Source organism: Homo sapiens, chromosome 19 (assembly GCF_000001405.40).
Source record: "Homo sapiens chromosome 19, GRCh38.p14 Primary Assembly".
Lineage (NCBI taxonomy): Eukaryota > Metazoa > Chordata > Mammalia > Primates > Hominidae > Homo > Homo sapiens.
Window position 1 is genome coordinate 13,809,762 of NC_000019.10, and position 17,543 is coordinate 13,827,304.

Sequence of the window (17,543 nt, forward strand, 5' to 3'; positions counted from 1 at the left end):
GAGCCACCACACCCAGCCTACATGTTTTGTTTCTTTTTTTCTTTTTTTAGAGACAGGATCTCACTGTGCGCCCAGGCTGAAGTACAGTGGCACAGTCACGGCTCACTGTAACTTCAAACTCTTGGGCTCAAGTGATCCTCTGGCCTTGGCCTCTCAAAGTGCTGGGATGACAGGCATGAGCCACTGTACCAAGCTGACATATTTTTGTTTGTTTGTTTTCTTTTCTTTTCTTTTTTTTTTTTTGAGAAGGAGTCTCGCTCTGTCATCCAGGCTGGAGTGCTGGAGTGCAGTGGTACTATCTTGGCTCACTGCAAGCTCCGCCCTCCGGGTTCACACCATTCTCCTGCCTCAGCCTCCCTAGTAGCTGGGACTACAGGCACCCGCCACTAAGTCCGGCTAATTTTTTGTATTTTTTTTATTAGAGACGGGGTTTCACTGTGTTAGGCAGGGTTGTCTTGATCTCCTGACCTTGTGATCTACCCGCCTCAGCCTCCCAGAGTGCTGGGATTACAGGTGTGAGCCACGGCACCTGGCCTGTTTTCTTTTTTTGACACGGACTCTCACCCTGTCTCCCAGGCTGGAGTGCAGTGGCACGATCTCGGCTCACTGCAACCTCCACCTCCTGGGTTCAAATGATTCTCCTGCCTTAGCCTTCTCAGTAGCTGGGATTATAGGTGCGTGCCACCATGCCTAGCTAATTATTGTATTTTTAGTAGAGACGGAGTTTCACCATGTTGATCAGGCTGGTCTCGAACTCCTGTCTTCGTGATCCACCCGCCTCAGCCTCCCAAAGTGCTGGGATTACAGGCGTGAGCCACCACACCCAGCCAACATATGTTTTCTTTTTTCTTTTTTCTTTTTTTTTTGAGACGGAGTCTTGCTCTGTCACCCAAGCTGGAGTGCAGTGGCACAATCTCAGCTCACTGCAAGCTCTGCCTCCTGGGTTCATGCCATTCTCCTGCCTCAGCCTCCCGAGTAGCTGGGACTACAGAGGCCCACCACCACGCCCGGCTAATTTTTTTGTATTTTTAGTAGCAACGGGGTTTCACTGGGTTAACCAGGATGGTCTCGATCCCCTGACCTCATGATCCGCCCGCCTCGGCTTCCCAAAGGGTTGGGATTACAGGCGTGAGCCACCACGCCCAGCCTTTTTTTTTTTTTTTTTTTTTTGAGATGGAGTCTTGCTTTGTCACCCAGGCTGTAGTGCAGTGGCACGATCTCGGCTCACTGCAAGCTCCGCCCCCCAGGTTCACGCTGTTCTCCTGCCTCAGCCTCCCGAGTAGCTGGGATCACAGGCGCCTGCCACCACGCCCGGCTAATTTTTTGTATTTTTAGTAGAGATGGGGTTTCACCGTGTTAGCCAGGATGGTCTCGATCTCCTGACCTCGTGATCCGCCTGCCTAGGCCTCCCAAAGTGCTGGGATTACAGGCATGAGCCACCGCACCGGCCAACATGTGTTTTCTGTAAGAGACACAGAGTTAATGTTATTCAGCCCTGCAGGCCATCTGGTCTCTGTCATGAAGACCTCACTCTGTCTATTATAGTAAAAAAGGCAGACACAGACATATATACCAAACGGGCATGGTAGCATTTCAATAAAACTTTATTTAAGAGCTGGGAGGCCAGGTGCAGTGGCTCACACCTGTAATCCCAGCACTTTGCGGGGCTGAGGTAGGGGGATCACTTGGGCCCCGGAGGTTGAGGCTGCAGTGAGCCATGATCACACCACTGCACTCCAGCCCGGGCAACAGAGCAAGACCCTGTCTCAACAACAACAAAAAAAGGCGCTTGGCACAGTGGCAGGAGCCTGTACTCCCTACTACTTGGAAGGCTGAGTGAGGCAGGAGGATTGCTTGAGCCCAGGAGTTCGAGTGCAGCTTAGACGACATGATGAGACCCTGTCTCTAAATTTTTTAAAAACCGGCTTTATTTATAGATACTTACTAATTTATTTGAATTTTATATTATTCCCACAAGTTGCAAAATATTCTTTTGGTTGTATTTCCCTGACCATTTAAAACTGGAAAAATAGGCCGGGTGCAGTGGCTCACACCTTAATTCCAGCAGTTTGGGAGGCCGAGGTGGGCAGATCACTTGAGGTCAGGAGATCGAGACCAGCTTGGCCAACATGGTGAAACCCCGCCTTTACTAAAAATGCAAAAATTAGCCAGGCATTGTGGCGGACGCCTGTAATCCCAGCTACTTGGGAGGCTGAGGCAGGAGAATCGCTTGAACCCAGGAGGTGGAGGTTACAGTGAGCTGAGATTGCGCCACTGCACTCCAGCCTGGGTGACAGAGTGAGACTCTGTCTCAAAAAATAAATAAATAAAAACAAGTACAAATAAAAAGGGAAAAATAAATCTTAGCGTGCAGGCTAATCAAAAATAAAGGGTGGTTCAGTTTTCACCATGGGCAGTGGTTTGCTAGTTCGCAGACCCCTGCATGAGATGGTGATAAATGCTACCCAAAAAACCCCAAAACACCTTGAGAGGAGTCTGGAGGCCTGGTTTTTTTGTTTGTTTGTTTTTGTTTTTGTTTTGTTTTGTTTTGAGATCGAGTCTCACTCTGTTGCCCAGGCTGGAGTACAGTGGTGTGATCTCGGCTCACTGCAACCTCTGCCTCCTGGGTTGAAGCGATTCTTGTGCCTCAGCCTCCCAAGTAGCTAGGACTACAGAGGCCCGGGATGTAATCCCAACTTTTTTTTTTTTTTTTTTGAGATGGAGTTTTGCTCTTTTTACCCAGGCTGGAGTGCAGTGGTGTGATCTCAGCTCCCTGCAACCTCCACCTCCCGGGTTCGAGCCATTCTCCTGCCTCAGCCTCCTGAATAGCTGGGATTACAGGCACCCACAATCATGCCTGGCTTTTTTTTTTTTTTTTTGGTATTTTCAGTAGAGACAGGGCTTCACCCTGTTGGCCAGGCTGTTCTTAAACTCCTGACCTCAGGTGATCCGCCTGCCTCAGCCTTCCAGAGTGCTGGGATTACAGGCGTGAGTCATCACGCCTGACCCTCTAATCCCAACTTCTAACTTACCAGCGGTGTGACCCTGTGCAAGCCGTGTTATGTCTCTGTGCCTCAGTTTGCTTGTCTGTAAGGTGCAAAGGCTGCGAGTTGCAACTTCCGAGGGTCGAGGTGAGGGGTTAGCAGATCATCAGGTGGCACACAGTGGGCACTGCGGAAGTGTGTGTTGCTGCCACTGTTGGCAGGAATATTGAGCCTGCCCCGTGCCTCCTCAGGGGCCCTGTGGGTTTGCGTCGTCCTGAGCCCCCACTGCAAACCAGAGGAAAGGGCAGGCTGGCTCCAGCTACTCAGCAGGTGGGACAAGCTCGACGTCTGCCCACTGGAAGAGGGCAACTACTCCTTCGACGGCCCCAGCCTGCAGCCCACCATGGCCCCCGCCCCAGGTAGGAGAGAGGGGTCTTTACCATGCCCCCCAAAAACCATCACCACTAACTGTGGCCCCACTTACCATCATGGTCCTCTTCCCAGGAGAGAGAGGGAGTGGGGCAGAGCAAAGCAGACCCCAGTCCTTGGCTGTTCTTCCAGGACTAATCCCAACTTGTCTAGCCAGGAAAGAGCGAGTGCCAAGGGCAGGAGCAATGGCAGCCCAAGTGGGCAAGTGAAGTAAAATGCTTAAAACACCTGCAGTCCTGGGCTGGTCTGGCTTGGCCTTCTGCTAGCTATGGGACCAAAGAGAGGATGAGAGAGGAAAAAAGGAGGAATCAAACAGAAGGGGAAAGTGAGATATTGAGGAGAGAGAAACAAGTGAAGAGAGGCAGAGATGGATGGAGAGAGGGAGAGGCAGACAGAGGAGCAGATAGGAAGGAAGACAGAGAGAGATTGAGGAGAGAGGGAAAAAAAAATTTATAGCAAGTACAGGCCAGGCATGGTGTCTCACGCCTGTAATCCCAGCACTTTGGGAAGCTGAGGGGGGCAGATTGCTTGAGGCCAGGAGTTCAAGACCAGCCAGAGTAACATGGTGAGACCTTGTCTCTACAAAAAATACAAAAATTAGCTGGGTGTTGTGACGCACACCTGGAATCCCGGATACTCAGGGGGCTGAGATGGGAGAATCGCTTGAGCCTGGGAGGCGGAGGTTGCAGTGAGCCAAGATCGCACCACTGCACTCTAGCCTGGACGACAGAGTGAGACCCTGTCTCAAAAAAAAAAAAAAAGAAAGAAAGAAAGAAAAGAAAAATAGCAAGTAGGAAGAGGAAGACAGACAGCCAGTTAGTTGCTCAACCTCAGTTTCCTATCAATGTGATGGGCCTGTACTAGCTCCTAACACATACACGCATCCTTTTTTTTTTTTTTTTGAGACAGTCTCACTCTGATGCCCAGGCTGGAGTGCAGTGACGCAACCTTGGCTCACTGCAACCTCTGCCTCCTGGGTTCAAGCGATTCTCATTCCTCAGCCTCCCAAGTAGCTGGGATTACAGGTGTGCACCACCACGCCAGGGTTAATTTTAGTAGAGATGGGGTGTCGCCATGTTGGCCAGGCTGGTCTCGAACTCCTGGCCTCATGTGATCCTCCCACCTTGGCCTCCCAAAGTGCTGGGATTACAAGTGTAAGCCACCATGCCCAGCCTACACATGCATCTTTGAAGGGTGGCTTCAAGGACTGGGCAGATGATGTATGCCCATAGCTTTGCCCAGGCCTAAACCCCAGTTAGTACTTGGTGGGAAAAGCTGGACACGGCTCAACTGCTATAGGGACCCCCCCTCACTGAGCCATGTTGGGTGCCTCTCTGCAGGCTCGGAGGAAGAGGAAGAGGTGGCAGCCACAAGTCCCCGCCACACGGTATTTGGCCGCGCCTTGCTGGCTGGAGAGCTACACTGGAATGACGCCTACCTGCAGAGGATCCTGGCCAGTGACTCCTACGGGCCCAGCCTCACAGGCAGCGTGGGTGGGGACAAACCGACTTTCGACCCCCAGGGCCGCCCACTGTGGCTGGGAGAACCTTTCCCCACTGCCTGTGCCCGTGTGGACACCCTGCGTGCCCACGGATACCCCCGCCAGGCCCTGCGGCTGGCAAGTGCCATCATCAACACACTCCGGCTGCAGCAGCGGCATCAGCTAGAGAGCTACAAGCAGCAGAAAAAAGGTCAGCCTCAGCCGGGCACGGGGGCTCGCACCTGTGATCCCAGCACATTGGGAGTCCGAGGTGGGAGGATTGCTTGAGGCCAGGAGTTCAACATCAGCCTGGGCAACATAGTGAGACAATGTCTCTACAAAAATTAAAAAAAAAAAATTAGCTGGATGTGGTGGCTCACACCTGTAGTCCCAGCTACTCTGTAGGCTGAGGCAGGAGGATCACTTGAGCCCAGGAGTTCAAGGCTGCAGTGAGCTATAATTATGCCACTGCACTCTAGCCTGGGTGACAGAGCAAGACCTCATCTCTTTTTTTTTTTGAGACAGAGTTTCGCTCTTGTTGCCCAGGTTGGAGTGCAATGGAGCAATCTCGGCTCACCGCAACCTCCACCTCCCAGGTTCAAGGGATTCTCCTGCCTCAGCCTCCCAAGTAGCTGGGATTACAGGCATGCGCCACCATGCCCGGCTAATTTTTTTGTATTTTTAGTAGAGATGGGGTTTCTCCATTGGTGAGACTGGTCTCGAACTCCCAACCTCAGGTGATCTGCCTGCCTTGGCCTCCCAAAGTGCTGGGATTACAGGCTTGAGCCACCGTGCCTGGAAATTTTTTTTTTTTTTTTTTTTTTTTTTTTTTTTGAGATGGAGTCTCGGTCTTTCGCCCAGTCTGGAGTGCAGTGGCGCAATCTCAGCTTACTGCAACCTCTGCCTCCCAGGTTCAAGCAATTCTCCGGCCTCAGCCTCCTGAGTAGCTTGGGACTACAGGCACCCACCACCACACCCAGTTAATTTTTGTGTTTTTAGTAGAGATGGGGTTTCACTATGTTGGCCAGGCTCTTCTCGAACTCCTGACCTTTTGATCCACCCACCTCAGCCTCCCAAAGTGCTGGGATTACAGGTGTAAGCCACCGTGCCTGGCCTACTGAAAATATTTTTAAAATTAGCCAGGCGTGGTGGCGCACACCTGTATTTCCAGCTACTAGGGAGGCTGCGGCATGAGAATTGCTTTAATCTGGGAGGCAGAGGTTGGTTGCAGTGAGCCAAGATTACACCACTGCACTCTAGACTGGGTGACAGAGCGAGACTCCGTCTCAAAAAATTAAAAAAAAAAAAAGAGAGAGAGAGGAGAGCGAGGAGAGAGAGAAGAGGAAAGAAAGAGGTGGGGAGGGAGGGACAGAGAGAGATGGGGGGAGAGAGAGGGGAAGGAAGGAAGGGAGGGAGGGAAGGAGGCTGTATGAGCCCCAAAAACCACATTGTGTACTAGATATGGGGGTGGGGGACAGGAGGGAGGCCACCAGTTGAGAGAGCTAGTCGATGGGGTTGATGGATCAGCTATCAGGAAATTGAACGAAGAAAAGTGTGTCGTGGAGGAAACATGGGGGCCCTGGGACCCGAGCAGAGCTCTGACCAGGCTTGGCAGCATCAGTGAAAGGCCCCTAGATTTTAAAAATTAGCCAGGTGGCTAATTAGCTGAGTATTTAAGGATGTGCATGGCCAGGCACAGTGGCTCACACCTGTAATCCCAACACTTTGGGAGGTGGAGGCAGGTGGAGTGCCTGAGGTCAGGAGTTCAAAACCAGCCTGGCCAACATAGTGAAACCCCATCTCTACTAAAAATCCAAAACAAATTAGCCAGGTGTGGTGGCACGTACCTGTATTCCCAGCTACTCAGGACACTGAGGCAGGAGAATCCCTTGAACCGGGAGGTACCTGGAGGTTGTGGTGAGCTGAGATCACGCCATTGCACTCTAGTCTGGGCAACAAGAGCAAAACTCCATCTCAGAAAAAATTTAAAAAAAGAAAAAGGATGTGCAGGAGTTACCCAGGAGAAGGGGATGGAGGAAGTGCTCAGAATAGAAGGAACACCATGAGCAGCAGCCAGGAGGGAAGAGAGTACGTGGCTTGGAGGACGAGGCTGGAGGATTGGCCTCCAGATGAGGCAGGTCACCAGTATATGGAAAAACTTCATACTGGTCCTTGGGGGCCCTAAAGGCTGTTGGGGCTTTATCTTCAGAGAGGTGGAGAGGGAATAAGGGCAATGAGGAGGGGAATGACACTTCGGGTGTTTTAGAAAGCGTCCAGTGGCCAGGCATGGTGGCCCATGCCTGTAATCCCTTTGGGAGGCCGAAGCAGGAGGATCGCTTGAGCTCCAGAGGCTGCAGTGAGCTATGATTGGGCCACTGCACTCCAGCCTGGGCAATAAGCGAGACCCCACCTCAAAAAAAAAAGTTGAAGGTGACCATTGGGTGAGCAGGTGGTGGGCATTATGGGGCTAGGCTGGCTGGCAGGTCAAGAAGAGGAATATCCCTCCCTCCTAGAGACTTGGGCAGGTGTGTGGGCATTGAGCCCCCTCTTTCCACCTGCAGAGCTGCTCCAGAAGGGCTCCACCTGCATCACCAACACCGAAGGATGGGTGGGGCACCCCCTGGACCCCATTGGCTGCCTCTGCAGGGCGCTCCTGGAGGCCTGTCGTCTGGAGGAGGAGACACTTACCCTTTACCCAGGTACTCACATGGGGTACTCTTGGAGGAGGTGGGACAACCCCGCCTCGTTGGCCACGCCCCCTGGCCCAGTACCCCTATAAGGTAACTCCCAGACTCTGACCCTTGGCCACGCCCCTACCCTTGGCTACCTCCTCTGGCCAGTGCCCAGAGCCAATAGGCTTAGCTTCTCCTGAAAGTGAGGCCACCATAGGCCTAGCTGCTGCTAGAAGGTGGGGCTCCCGCGCTCCCCCAACCCCGTGAGTGCTGGGAGCTTCTGGGCTCCCTCTAAAGCCTACCCTGCGCCCAGGTCTCCATGCTTGAGGCCAAGGGCTACAGGGACCTTAGGGAAGGGGATCCGTCTCCAGCAGCCCTGGCCCTGTCTCCCCCAGACTCAGGCCCCGAGAAGCGGAAGGTGGCCTACCAGCACGTGCCTGTGCCCGGGAGCCCTGGGGAGTCCTACTTGGTGCTGGCGCTGGAGGTGGCACTGCTGGGGCTGGGGCAGCAGCGGGCCCTGCCGGAGGGGCTGTACGCCCAGGACAAGGTGGTGCGCAACGAGGAGCAGCTGCTGGCCCTGCTGGAGGAGGTGGAGTTGGATGAGCGGTTGGTGCAGGTGCTGCGCAAGCAGGCGGGGCTGCTGCTGGAAGGTGAGGCCGCGCCCCTAGGCCTGGCTGTTGCTGAAGGGTAGGGTCCAGCCCCTGGTCCTGTAGCGGCCCGGTTGCTGCCAGATGGGAGGCCCCGCCCCAGCCCCGCCCCTAGCCCCGCCTCCTGGTGATACTGTCCCCTCATACCTTGGCAGTTTCTAAAAGGAGAGAGCCAGCTCTTTTTCCCGCCACCTAGTGCGTGCTGCCAGCCAGCAACTGCTGCGTGTGCTGAGGCGCCGCCCCCTTCCCTCCCGGGAGCCAGTGAGCCAAGTGGTTGATGTTAAAGCGAGGGCGTCCCACCTTCATCCGCAACTTAGACACCGCCCCTGTCCCGGCCTGCTCCTCATTGGCCCCGCCAATGGCCAGGCCCTATTGACCTGTGTGTTGTGAGACTCCGTCCCCTAGCGCTACAGGGAGCCGTTTATCCCTGCCCCTTCAAGGCCCCCTACGCTATCGGACTTGCTGGTCTTGGCCGCTGGTCCCGTTCCCCAAGGCAGGTGCAGCCCCACCTCCACCCTCTGGCCCCACCTTGTATCTGAGTCCTGCTCCTCACCTGCGAGTGTGCCTGGAGTCTCTTCTTTTCCTTTTCCTTTTTTCCTTTTTTATTTTGCGACAGTCTTCACTCTGTCACCCAGGCTGGAGTGCAGTGGCGCGATCTCGGCTCACTGCAATCTCTGCCTCCCGGGTTCAAGTGATTCTTCTGCCTCAGCCTCCCGAGTAGCTGGGATTACAGGCGTGCGCCACCACACCCGGCTGATTTTTGTATTTTTAGTAGAGATGGGGTTTCCCCATGTTGGCCAGGCTGGTCTCAAACTCCTGACCTCAAGTGATCTGCCCGCCTCGGCCTCCCAAAGTGCTGGGATTACAGGCATGAGCCGTGGTCCCCTGCCTCCTCTTTTTTTTTTTTTGAGACGGAGTCTCGCTCTGTCTCCCAGGTTGGAGTGCAGTGGCGCAATCTCGGCTCACTGCACCCTCCGATCCCGGGTTCACGCCATTCTCCTGCCTCAGCCTCCCGAGTAGCTGGGACTACTTGCGCCTGCCACCACACCTGGCTAATTTTTTTTGTATTTTTAGTAGAGACGGGGTTTCACCGTGTTAGCCAGGATGGTCTCGAACTCCTAACCTCGTGATCCGCCAGCCTCGGCCTCCCAAAGTGCTGGGATTACAGGCGTGAGCCACCGCGCCAGGCCTCCTCTTTTATTTGGATTACCCAGAGATTGCCTCAGTCTCAGACCTGAACCCCTACCCCAGAGACCCATCTAGCCACAGCCACTCTACCCAGGGGCCAGCCCACCCTCTACTTAAAGCCTGGGGTCTAGTGAGACCTGGGGAAGGGCAGAGGCGAGCCCACACTTGGGGACTGAGCTCAGGCTGTTCCTGCAGGGGGTCCCTTCAGTGGCTTTGGGGAGGTGCTGTTCCGGGAGAGCGTGCCCATGCACACCTGTGCCCGCTACCTGTTCACCGCACTGCTGCCTCATGACCCGGACCTGGCCTATCGCCTCGCGCTGCGAGCTATGAGGTGAGGATAGGTGGCCAAGGCAGTGGCAGGGGGAGCTGGGGGGAAGAGGGGCGGGCATGGGGGGTAGCTCAGAGCCCCACCCATCCAGCCTGAACTCACAGCCTAGTTAATTCAGTCTCTCTCACCCTGGCATTTGATGATGCCATGTGCTTTTCATTATTATTATTTATTTATTTATTTATTTATTTATTTATTTTGAGCTGGAGTCCTCTGTGACCCAGGCTGGAGTGCAGTGGCGCGATCTCAGCTCACTGCAACCTCCACCTCCTGGGTTCAAGCAATTTCCTGCCTCAGCCTCCCGAGTGGCTAGGATTACAGGCATGCACCACCATGCCCAGCTAATTTTTGTTTTTTGTTTTTTTTTTTTTTGAGACGGAGTCTTGCTCTGTCACCCAGGCTGGAGTGCAGTGGCGCGATCTCGGCCCACTCCCAGGGCCGATCTCAGCTCCGCCTTCCAGGTTCACACCATTCTCCTGCCTCAGCCTCCTGAGTAGCTGGGACCACAGGCGCCCGCCACCACGCCCGGCTAATTTTTTGTATTTTTAGTAGAGACGGGGTTTCACCGTGTTAGTAATTTTTGTATTTTTAATAGAGACAGGATTTCGCCATGTTGCCCATGTTGTCTCGAACTCCTGACCTCATGATCCACCCGCCTTGGCCTCCCAAAGTGCTAGGATTACAGGCATAAGCCACCTCGCACAGCCGTGCTTTTTATTATTAAGTATAAATGTGTGTTTTTTGTTTTGTGTTTTTTTTGTTTTGAGACAGGGTCTGGCTCTGTCACCCAGGCCAGAGTAAAGTGGTGCCATCTCTGCTCAGTGCAACCTCTGCCTCCCAGGCTCAAGCGATCCTCCCATCTCAGCCTCCTGAGTATCCAGGACTCCAGGCGTGCACCACCGCACTGGGCTAATTTTTGTATTTTTTGTAGAGACGGGGTTTCACCATGTTGCTCAGGCTGGTCTCGAATTTCTGAGCTCAAGTGATCCGCCCACCTTGGCTTTCCAAAGCTCTGGGATTACAGGCGTGAGCCACTGCACCTGGCTAAATGTGTAATATTATTTTGAGTTTGAGAATATTCACATGATACATGAAAAGATACACAAAGCTGAAATCTTTTCTAGGCAGTTTTATCTCAGCCTATCCAGATCTCTCCGGATGCAAGCAGGGTTATCACTTTTGTGTCTATCCTGCAAGAATTGAGGTTTCTGCAAACCCATAATCTGGAAATTGAACGTTGATCCTCCTTTTATACCAGTGGTACATCCTGTATCTATTCTTTGCACCTTTTTCTCACTGAGCTTTGCATCTTACAGGATTTGTCTTATCACACAGTACGTGAATCACTGCGTAGCCTTCCACTCTAAGGACACGTCATAAAAGAACCACTTGGAAGCTGATAGACATTTACGCAATTTCCAAAAAAAAAAAAAAAAGGCAATGAATAACCTGGTTTTCATTTATCACGTACACCAGCAGATTCACAGAAGGAGAATATTTGAAAGCCAACTTGGCCGGGCATGGTGGCTCATGCCTGTAATCCCAGCACTTTGGGAGGCCAAGGCGGACGGATCACCTGAGGTCATGAGTTTGAGACCAGCCTGGCCAACATAGTGAAAACCTATCTCTACTAAAAATACAAAAATTAGCTGGGTGTGGAGGTGCATACCTGTAATCCCAGCTACTCCGGAGGCTGAGACAGGAGAATGACTTAAACCCGGGAGGTGGAGGTTGCAATGAGCCCAGATCGCACCACTGCACTCCAGCCTGGGAGACAGAGCGAGACTCTGTCTCCAAAAAAAAAAAAAAGGCCAACTCAATAGTAAACCATGCCCAAAAAGGTGCAACCTATTCCACACCTTCTGAAACCATCCTTCAGAGGTACCTATAAACAACTTGGGATCCAGCCTGGTACACATCTATGGTCCTAGCTACTTGGGAGGCTGAGGAGGGAGGATTGCTTGAGCCCAGGAATTCAAGGCTGTAGTGATCTATGATCCCACCTATGAATTGCCACTGCACGCCAGCCTGGGCAACAGAGCAAGACCCCATCTCTCTCTTTTTTTTGTCCTTTTAGAGACAGTCTCGCTCCATTGCCCAGGCTGGATATGCAATGGCAGGATCATAGCTCTTCACAGCCTCATATACATGGGCTCAAAGGATCCTCCCACCTAAGCCTCCCACCAAGTAACTGGGACTACAGGTACTTGTCACCATGCCTGGCTAGTTTTAAATTTTTTTTTTTTTGAGAGGGAGTCTCACTTTCTCGCCCAGGCTGGAGTGCAGTGGCACAATCTCAGCTCACTGCAAGCTCCGCTCACTGCAAGCTCCAAACCTCCCGGGTTCAAGTGATTCTCCTGCCTCAGCCTCCCAAGTAGCTGGGACTACAGTCACCCACCACCACGCCTGGTTAATTTTTTGTATTTTTAGTAGAGACAGGTTTTCACCATGTCAGCCGGGATGGTCTCAATCTCCTGACCTCGTGATCCACCCACCTCAGCCTCCCAAAGTGCTGGGATTACAGGCATGAGCCACCACACCCGGCCTAGTTTAAAAATTTTTTTTGTAATGATGGGATCTCATTACATTGCCCAGGTTGGTCTCAAATTCCTGGCCTCAAGCGACCCTCTCGCCTTGGCCCATCTCTTTAAAACACACAAACACACACACACATACACACACACACACACACACACACACACACACACACACACACAGTTTGGAGTGTTTTTCCAGAATATTTAGAAAGAACAGCCTGTAAGAGCCAAGATTTAGACAACAGACTTTTCTATGCAAGAATTTTTTTTCTCAGCAAAATACAGCCCATGGGGCCTAATTTGGCCAACCACCTGTTTTCGTACAGCCCATGAGATAAGAATGGTTTTTACATTTATAAACGGTTGAAAAAAATCAAAAGAATATTTTGTAACACATGAAAAATATATGAAATTCAAATTTCAGTGTCCAGAAATGGTTTTATTGGCACACAGCCATGTCCATTCATCTGTGAATTGTCTGTGGCTTTTCTGGCAGAACAATGACAGAATTAAGTCATTGAAATACAGATCAGTGGCCAGGCATGGTGGCTCATGTCTGTAATCCCAGCACTTTGGGAGGCCAAGACGGGCGGATCACTTGAGGACAGGAGTTCAAGACTAGCCTGGCCAACATGATGCAACCCCATGTCTACTAAAAATACAAAAATTAGGGCCAGGAGCCATGGTTCACGCCTATAATCCCAGTACTTTGGGAGGCCGAGGAGGGCGGATCACCTAAGGTCAGGAGTTTGAGACCGGCCTGACCAACATGGAGAAAACCCGTCTCTACTAAAAATACAAAATTAGCCAGGTGTGGTAGTACACGCCTGTAATCCCAGCTACTCGGGAGGCTGAGGCAAGAGAATCGTTTGAACCCAGGAGGCAGAGGTTGCAGTGAGCCGAGATTGCGCCATTGCACGCCAGCCTGGGCAAAAAGAGTGAAACTCCGTCTCAAAAAAAAAAAAAAGAAAGAAAAAAGCCAGGTATGGTGGCACGTGCCTGTAGTCCCAGCTACTCAGGAGGCTGAAGTGGGAGGATTACTTGAGCCGAGAAGTTTGAGGCTTCAGTGAGCTATGATTGTCCCACAGGACTCCAGCCTGGGTGACAACAGAGTGAGACCCTGTCTCTAAAATAAGTAAATGTATCAATTTATAAACAACACTGCAGTGAACATCTTGCACACACATCTTCCATCATCTTGGGCTCTCAGGGCTCTGCTGGCTGAAGTGGGGAGGCTGGGCCAGGAGGCTTCTCTGTCTCCTAGAGAGAATGGGGACAGCAGCCCCTCCTCACCATGGCTCACTTCTCCCCTTACCCAGGCTGCCCATACTGGAGACAGCATTTCCTGCTGGAGAACCTCATCCCAGCCCGCTGGACTCCATCATGAGCAACCGCTTCCCCCGCTGGTTCATCCTTGGCCACCTGGAGACCCGCCAGTGTGAACTGGCTTCCACCATGTTGACGGCCGCCAAGGGTGAGGCTGGCAGCTGTCCCGATTCCTTTGTCTTCCTCCTCTGTCATCTCCTTCTTCCTTCCCTCTTAACTTTCCTGCCTCCTCTTATCCTTTCACAAACTTCCCCCTGCATTCTTTGAGCACCTCCTATATGTACCGGACACTGTCTCAGGTGCTGGGGATGTAGCAGGTGACAAAACTGTCCCAGATCCCCTGCCCTGTGGAATGACATTCTAGTGGGGAGAAGAGAGTGATGCAGTAAATGAGACGGTAACAGGTGCCATGGAGTGGAATAAAACAGTTGAACATTTAAGCAGAGACCTGAAGATGAGGTGGAGCCTTGCAGGTACCTGGTGTCTTAGCTCAGGCTGCTGTAACAAAACACCAGAGACTGCGTGACTTCAACAACAAAAATTTATTTTCTCACATTTCTGTAGGCTAGAAGTCTAAGATCACTATGTCAGTATGGCTAGCTCCTGGTGAGGGCTCTCTTCTCAGCTTACAGACGGCCACCTTCTTGCTTTGTTGAGAGTTGGGGGGAGTGAAGTGGGGAGTAGAGAGGAAAGTGAGAGAGAGGAGGCTGGGAGAGAGAGAGAGGGAGAAAGGAGAGATAGTAGGGGGGGATAGAGAGAGAGGGAGAGAGAGGAGTCAGGTGCCAGAGAGGAGAGAGAGAAGAAAGAGAAGAGGGAGAGAGGAGAGACAGAGAGGAGAAGTTAAATTTCTCCAGTGTATCTTCTTCTAAGGTCACTAACCCTCTCATGAGTACCTGAACTTCATGACCTCATCTAAACCTAATTATTGGCTGGGCACGGTAGCTCATGCCTGTAATCCCAGCACTTTGGGAGGCTGAGGCGGGCAAATCACTTGAGGCCAGGAGTTCGGGACCAGCAAATCACTTGAGGCCAGAAGTTCTTCAAGACCAGCCTGGCCAATATGGTGAAACCCCATCTCTACTAAAAATGCAAAAATTAGCCAGGCACAGTGGTGCACGCCTGTAATCCCAGCGATTTGGGAGGCCGAGGCCGGGGGATCACCTGAGGTCAGGAGTTCGAGACCAGCCTGGCCAACATGGTGAAACTCTGTGTCTACTAAAAATATGAAAATTAGCTGGGCGTGGTGACCGGCACCTGTAATCCCAGCTACTTGGGAGGCTGAGGCAGGAGAATCACTTGAACCCGGGAGGCAAAGGTTGCAGTGAGCCGAGACTGCACCGTTGCACTCCAGCCTGGACAACAAGAACAAAACTCCATCTCAAAATAATAATAATAATAATAATAATAATAATAATAATAATAATAAAAGCTAACATTTGAGCAGCTCCTTGCCATGTTAAGGCCTTGCCAAGTATGGGCCCACCACCACCCTGTGAGGTGGGTTCCATTGCCTGAGTGTTACCCATTTTACAGATGGGGCAGCCAGGGCACAGAGAGGTGAAGTGACTTGCTCAGGGTCACACAGCTAGTGGGTGGCAGGACCAGGATTTGAACCCTGGCATTCTGGGTGTGCAACCAATGCCCTTGAGATGAGGGAGAGGTCCATAGGATCCCTAGGTGGCTTTTCTTTTCTTTTTTTTTTTTTTGAGATGGATATTACTCTATCATCTAGGCTGGAGTGCAGTGGTGCCATCTCAGCTGACTGCAACCTCTGCCTCCCGGGTTCAAGCGATTCTCGTGCCTCATCCTCCCAAGTAGCTGGGATTACAGGCACCCGCCACCATGCCCAGCTAATTTTTGTAGATGGGGTTTCGCCATGTTGGCCAGGCTGGTCTCAAACTCTTGACCTCGTGATCCACCCACCTCAGCCTCCCAAAGTGCTGGGATTACAGGTGTGAGCCACTGCGCCCGGCCCCTAGGTGGCTTTCTGTAACAGGAAAGGGCCAGAGAGGAGATAATTGGCAAGGGCTAGGGGCACTGAGGTCTGAATCTTCACAGAACCATGGCCCAGTACACATCCCTCCACACTCACACATGTGCCCCTGGGTGGAAGGATCTGTGTGAACAGGTCGGGTGGTGGTCAGAGGCTGGTGCTGAGGTGTATCCGATGGTGTCCTCTGTCCCGCCCTTCACCCAGGAGACCCCAAGTGGCTGCACACGGTACTGGGCTCCATCCAGCAGAACATCCACTCTCCGGCCCTGCTCTTTAAGCTGGCGCAGGACGCCTGCAAGACAGCCACCCCGGTCAGCGCCCCACCAGACACCACGCTGCTGGGCATCGCACTGGAGCTGGGGCTGCAGGTGAGGGCTGCCAGGTGGATGCGGGAGGGCGATGGTGGCTCGGGGCCAGGACTGACTGTGAGCTGCGCCTCCCGGGGCATGGGCTGAGTGTGAGCCACTTCGCTGGGGGCCCGGCATTTGCGTGAGCTATTCCTCTGTGGCTGGGGACTGAGCGAGAACCACTCTTGGGGCGGGGACTGTGAGTGAGACACACCTCTGGGGGCGTGGCCTGAGTGTGGGCCACTTCCTTGGGGGCGTGGCATGAGTGAGCCACTCCCCTGGGAATGGGGACTGGATGAATCGTGTCTCTGGGGATGGGGTCTTCACTTGGGCCACACCTCTGCAGGTGGGGCCTGAGTGTGAACCTCACCTTTAGGGGCGGGGCCACAGAAGGCCAAGGTCTGTAAGTCATGGGAGTGTGGGAATGGGGTTCCCAGTAGGGATGAAGCCTATGAATTATTAATAGAATCCGTCTATGGAGGAGACTGAGGTCTAGGGGAGAGTTGTCACTGGAGCGGAGAGGCAGGGCCTGCAAGCCAGCAGATGGATCGCAAGCGGAGCCTGGGGGTGGGGCCTGGGAGTGATGTGCTATTGGTTAAGGATCATGGGTGGGTGAGTTTGAAGCTGAGGGTGAGGCAGAGCCTAGCAATAAAGAGCTTCCTTGGGGGCAGGGCCTGAAGAGGATTGCCGCCTAAGGAGAGGGATTCACCACTGAAGGGCTGGCCTGGCGGAAGGTCTTGAAGATGAGATGCCAACTCTAGGGGTGGGGTCTGTGGTTGAAAGCCCTGTATGAGCCCGGGTGTGGTGGCTCACATCTGTAATCCCACACTTTGGGAGGCCGAGGGGGGCAGATCACGAGGCCAGGAGTTCGAGACCAGCCTGGCCAACATGATGAAACTCCGTCTCTACTAAAAATACAAAAATTAGCCAAGCGTGGTGGCACGCGCCTGTAATCCCAGCTACTCGGGAGGTTGAGGCAAGAGAATCGCTTGAACCCAGGAGGGAGAGGTTGCAGTGAGCCGAAATCACACCACTGCATTCCAGCCTGAAGGACGGAGCAAGACTCCGTCTTGGGGAAGAAAAAAAAAAGTCCTGTATGCAGGGCCTGCAACTGAGTGTCTGGGTCATCCCCAGGGGCTGAACAAAGGGTGGTCCTGCAAGGCCAAATCTTGGGTGCAGCTTGCTGGAAAGGTGTCATTGGTAGGGTGTGAGTGCCATGGGACCTGGAGGAGGGTGGGGTCTGCAGGATAGACAGGTAAGGGGCGGGGCCTCAAAGGGTGGCAGAAGTTCACTAAGAAGATAAGGAATAGGGCCGGGCACAGTGCCTCACACCTGTAATTCCAGCATTTTGGGAGGCCAAGGTGGGAGGATTGCTTGGGGCCAGGAGTTTGAGATTGGCCTGGACAACATAGTGAGACCCCCATCTCTACAAAAAACTTTAAAAATTAGCCAGGTGTGATGGTGCACCCCTGTAGTCCCAGCTCCTCAGGAGGCTGAGGCGAGAGGATCGCTTGAGGCCAGGAGTTTGAGGCTGCAGCAGTGAGCTATGATCGCGCCACTGTACTCCAGGTAACAGAGCAAGAAGACCCCAACTCTAAAAGAAAAAAATAGA

At 52.8% G+C, this 17,543-nt stretch overlaps 1 protein-coding gene, 1 long non-coding RNA gene and 1 pseudogene across 15 annotated transcripts in view, besides 6 other annotated features; 1 reads left to right on the forward strand and 2 right to left on the reverse strand.

The window, feature by feature from the left end:
• Positions 1–17,543, forward strand: part of ZSWIM4 (zinc finger SWIM-type containing 4) — a 36,812-nt gene that overhangs the window by 14,319 nt on the left and 4,950 nt on the right. For 4 of the 12 annotated variants that reach the window (XM_017027153.2, XM_017027154.2, XM_017027156.2 and 1 more), the window contains 7 exons: positions 3,236–3,403; positions 4,754–5,104; positions 7,407–7,592; positions 7,961–8,215; positions 9,596–9,731; positions 13,585–13,739; positions 15,789–15,952. In XM_017027153.2, coding sequence (XP_016882642.1) covers positions 3,236–3,403; positions 4,754–5,104; positions 7,407–7,592; positions 7,961–8,215; positions 9,596–9,731; positions 13,585–13,739; positions 15,789–15,952 — 1,415 coding nt within the window. Of the gene's footprint in view, positions 1–3,235; positions 3,404–4,753; positions 5,105–7,406; positions 7,593–7,960; positions 8,216–9,595; positions 9,732–13,584; positions 13,740–15,788; positions 15,953–17,543 lie in introns of those variants that run through there. The other 8 variants (NM_001367834.3, XM_047439237.1, XR_007066949.1 and 5 more) reach the window with 7 other exon arrangements.
• On the reverse strand, positions 212–8,081 carry LOC107985334 (uncharacterized). Of its 3 annotated transcripts, none has more exons than XR_001753877.2 (5): positions 7,993–8,081; positions 6,741–6,841; positions 3,469–3,679; positions 3,033–3,269; positions 212–1,462 (listed from the first exon to the last, which is right to left on the reverse strand). It is a non-coding gene; the product is annotated as an uncharacterized LOC107985334 (long non-coding RNA). The 3 variants fall into 3 exon arrangements; XR_001753876.2 differs by lacking the exon at positions 212–1,462 and adding an exon at positions 1,587–1,761; XR_007067143.1 differs by lacking the exon at positions 3,469–3,679.
• Positions 2,921–3,121: a silencer, noted in NCBI's record as "peak3376 fragment used in MPRA reporter construct". NCBI's record gives its function as "represses an SCP1 promoter by STARR-seq MPRAs in K562 erythroleukemia cells {active_cell/tissue: K562}" and the evidence as "EXISTENCE:reporter gene assay evidence [ECO:0000049][PMID:32103011]".
• RN7SL619P (RNA, 7SL, cytoplasmic 619, pseudogene) lies at positions 5,301–5,558 on the reverse strand (annotated as a pseudogene).
• Positions 7,494–8,161: an enhancer, noted in NCBI's record as "H3K27ac-H3K4me1 hESC enhancer chr19:13928069-13928736 (GRCh37/hg19 assembly coordinates)". NCBI's record gives its function as "activates a minimal SCP1, AML or CMV promoter by ChIP-STARR-seq in naive H9 embryonic stem cells {active_cell/tissue: H9 hESC(naive)}" and the evidence as "EXISTENCE:reporter gene assay evidence [ECO:0000049][PMID:30033119]".
• Positions 7,940–8,069: an enhancer, noted in NCBI's record as "active region_14138". NCBI's record gives its function as "activates an Ori minimal core promoter by ATAC-STARR-seq in GM12878 lymphoblastoid cells {active_cell/tissue: GM12878}" and the evidence as "EXISTENCE:reporter gene assay evidence [ECO:0000049][PMID:35858748]".
• Positions 8,162–8,830: an enhancer, noted in NCBI's record as "H3K27ac-H3K4me1 hESC enhancer chr19:13928737-13929405 (GRCh37/hg19 assembly coordinates)". NCBI's record gives its function as "activates a minimal SCP1, AML or CMV promoter by ChIP-STARR-seq in primed H9 embryonic stem cells {active_cell/tissue: H9 hESC(primed)}" and the evidence as "EXISTENCE:reporter gene assay evidence [ECO:0000049][PMID:30033119]".
• Positions 8,831–9,498: an enhancer, noted in NCBI's record as "H3K27ac-H3K4me1 hESC enhancer chr19:13929406-13930073 (GRCh37/hg19 assembly coordinates)". NCBI's record gives its function as "activates a minimal SCP1, AML or CMV promoter by ChIP-STARR-seq in primed H9 embryonic stem cells {active_cell/tissue: H9 hESC(primed)}" and the evidence as "EXISTENCE:reporter gene assay evidence [ECO:0000049][PMID:30033119]".
• Positions 16,023–16,719: an enhancer, noted in NCBI's record as "H3K4me1 hESC enhancer chr19:13936598-13937294 (GRCh37/hg19 assembly coordinates)". NCBI's record gives its function as "activates a minimal SCP1, AML or CMV promoter by ChIP-STARR-seq in naive H9 embryonic stem cells {active_cell/tissue: H9 hESC(naive)}" and the evidence as "EXISTENCE:reporter gene assay evidence [ECO:0000049][PMID:30033119]".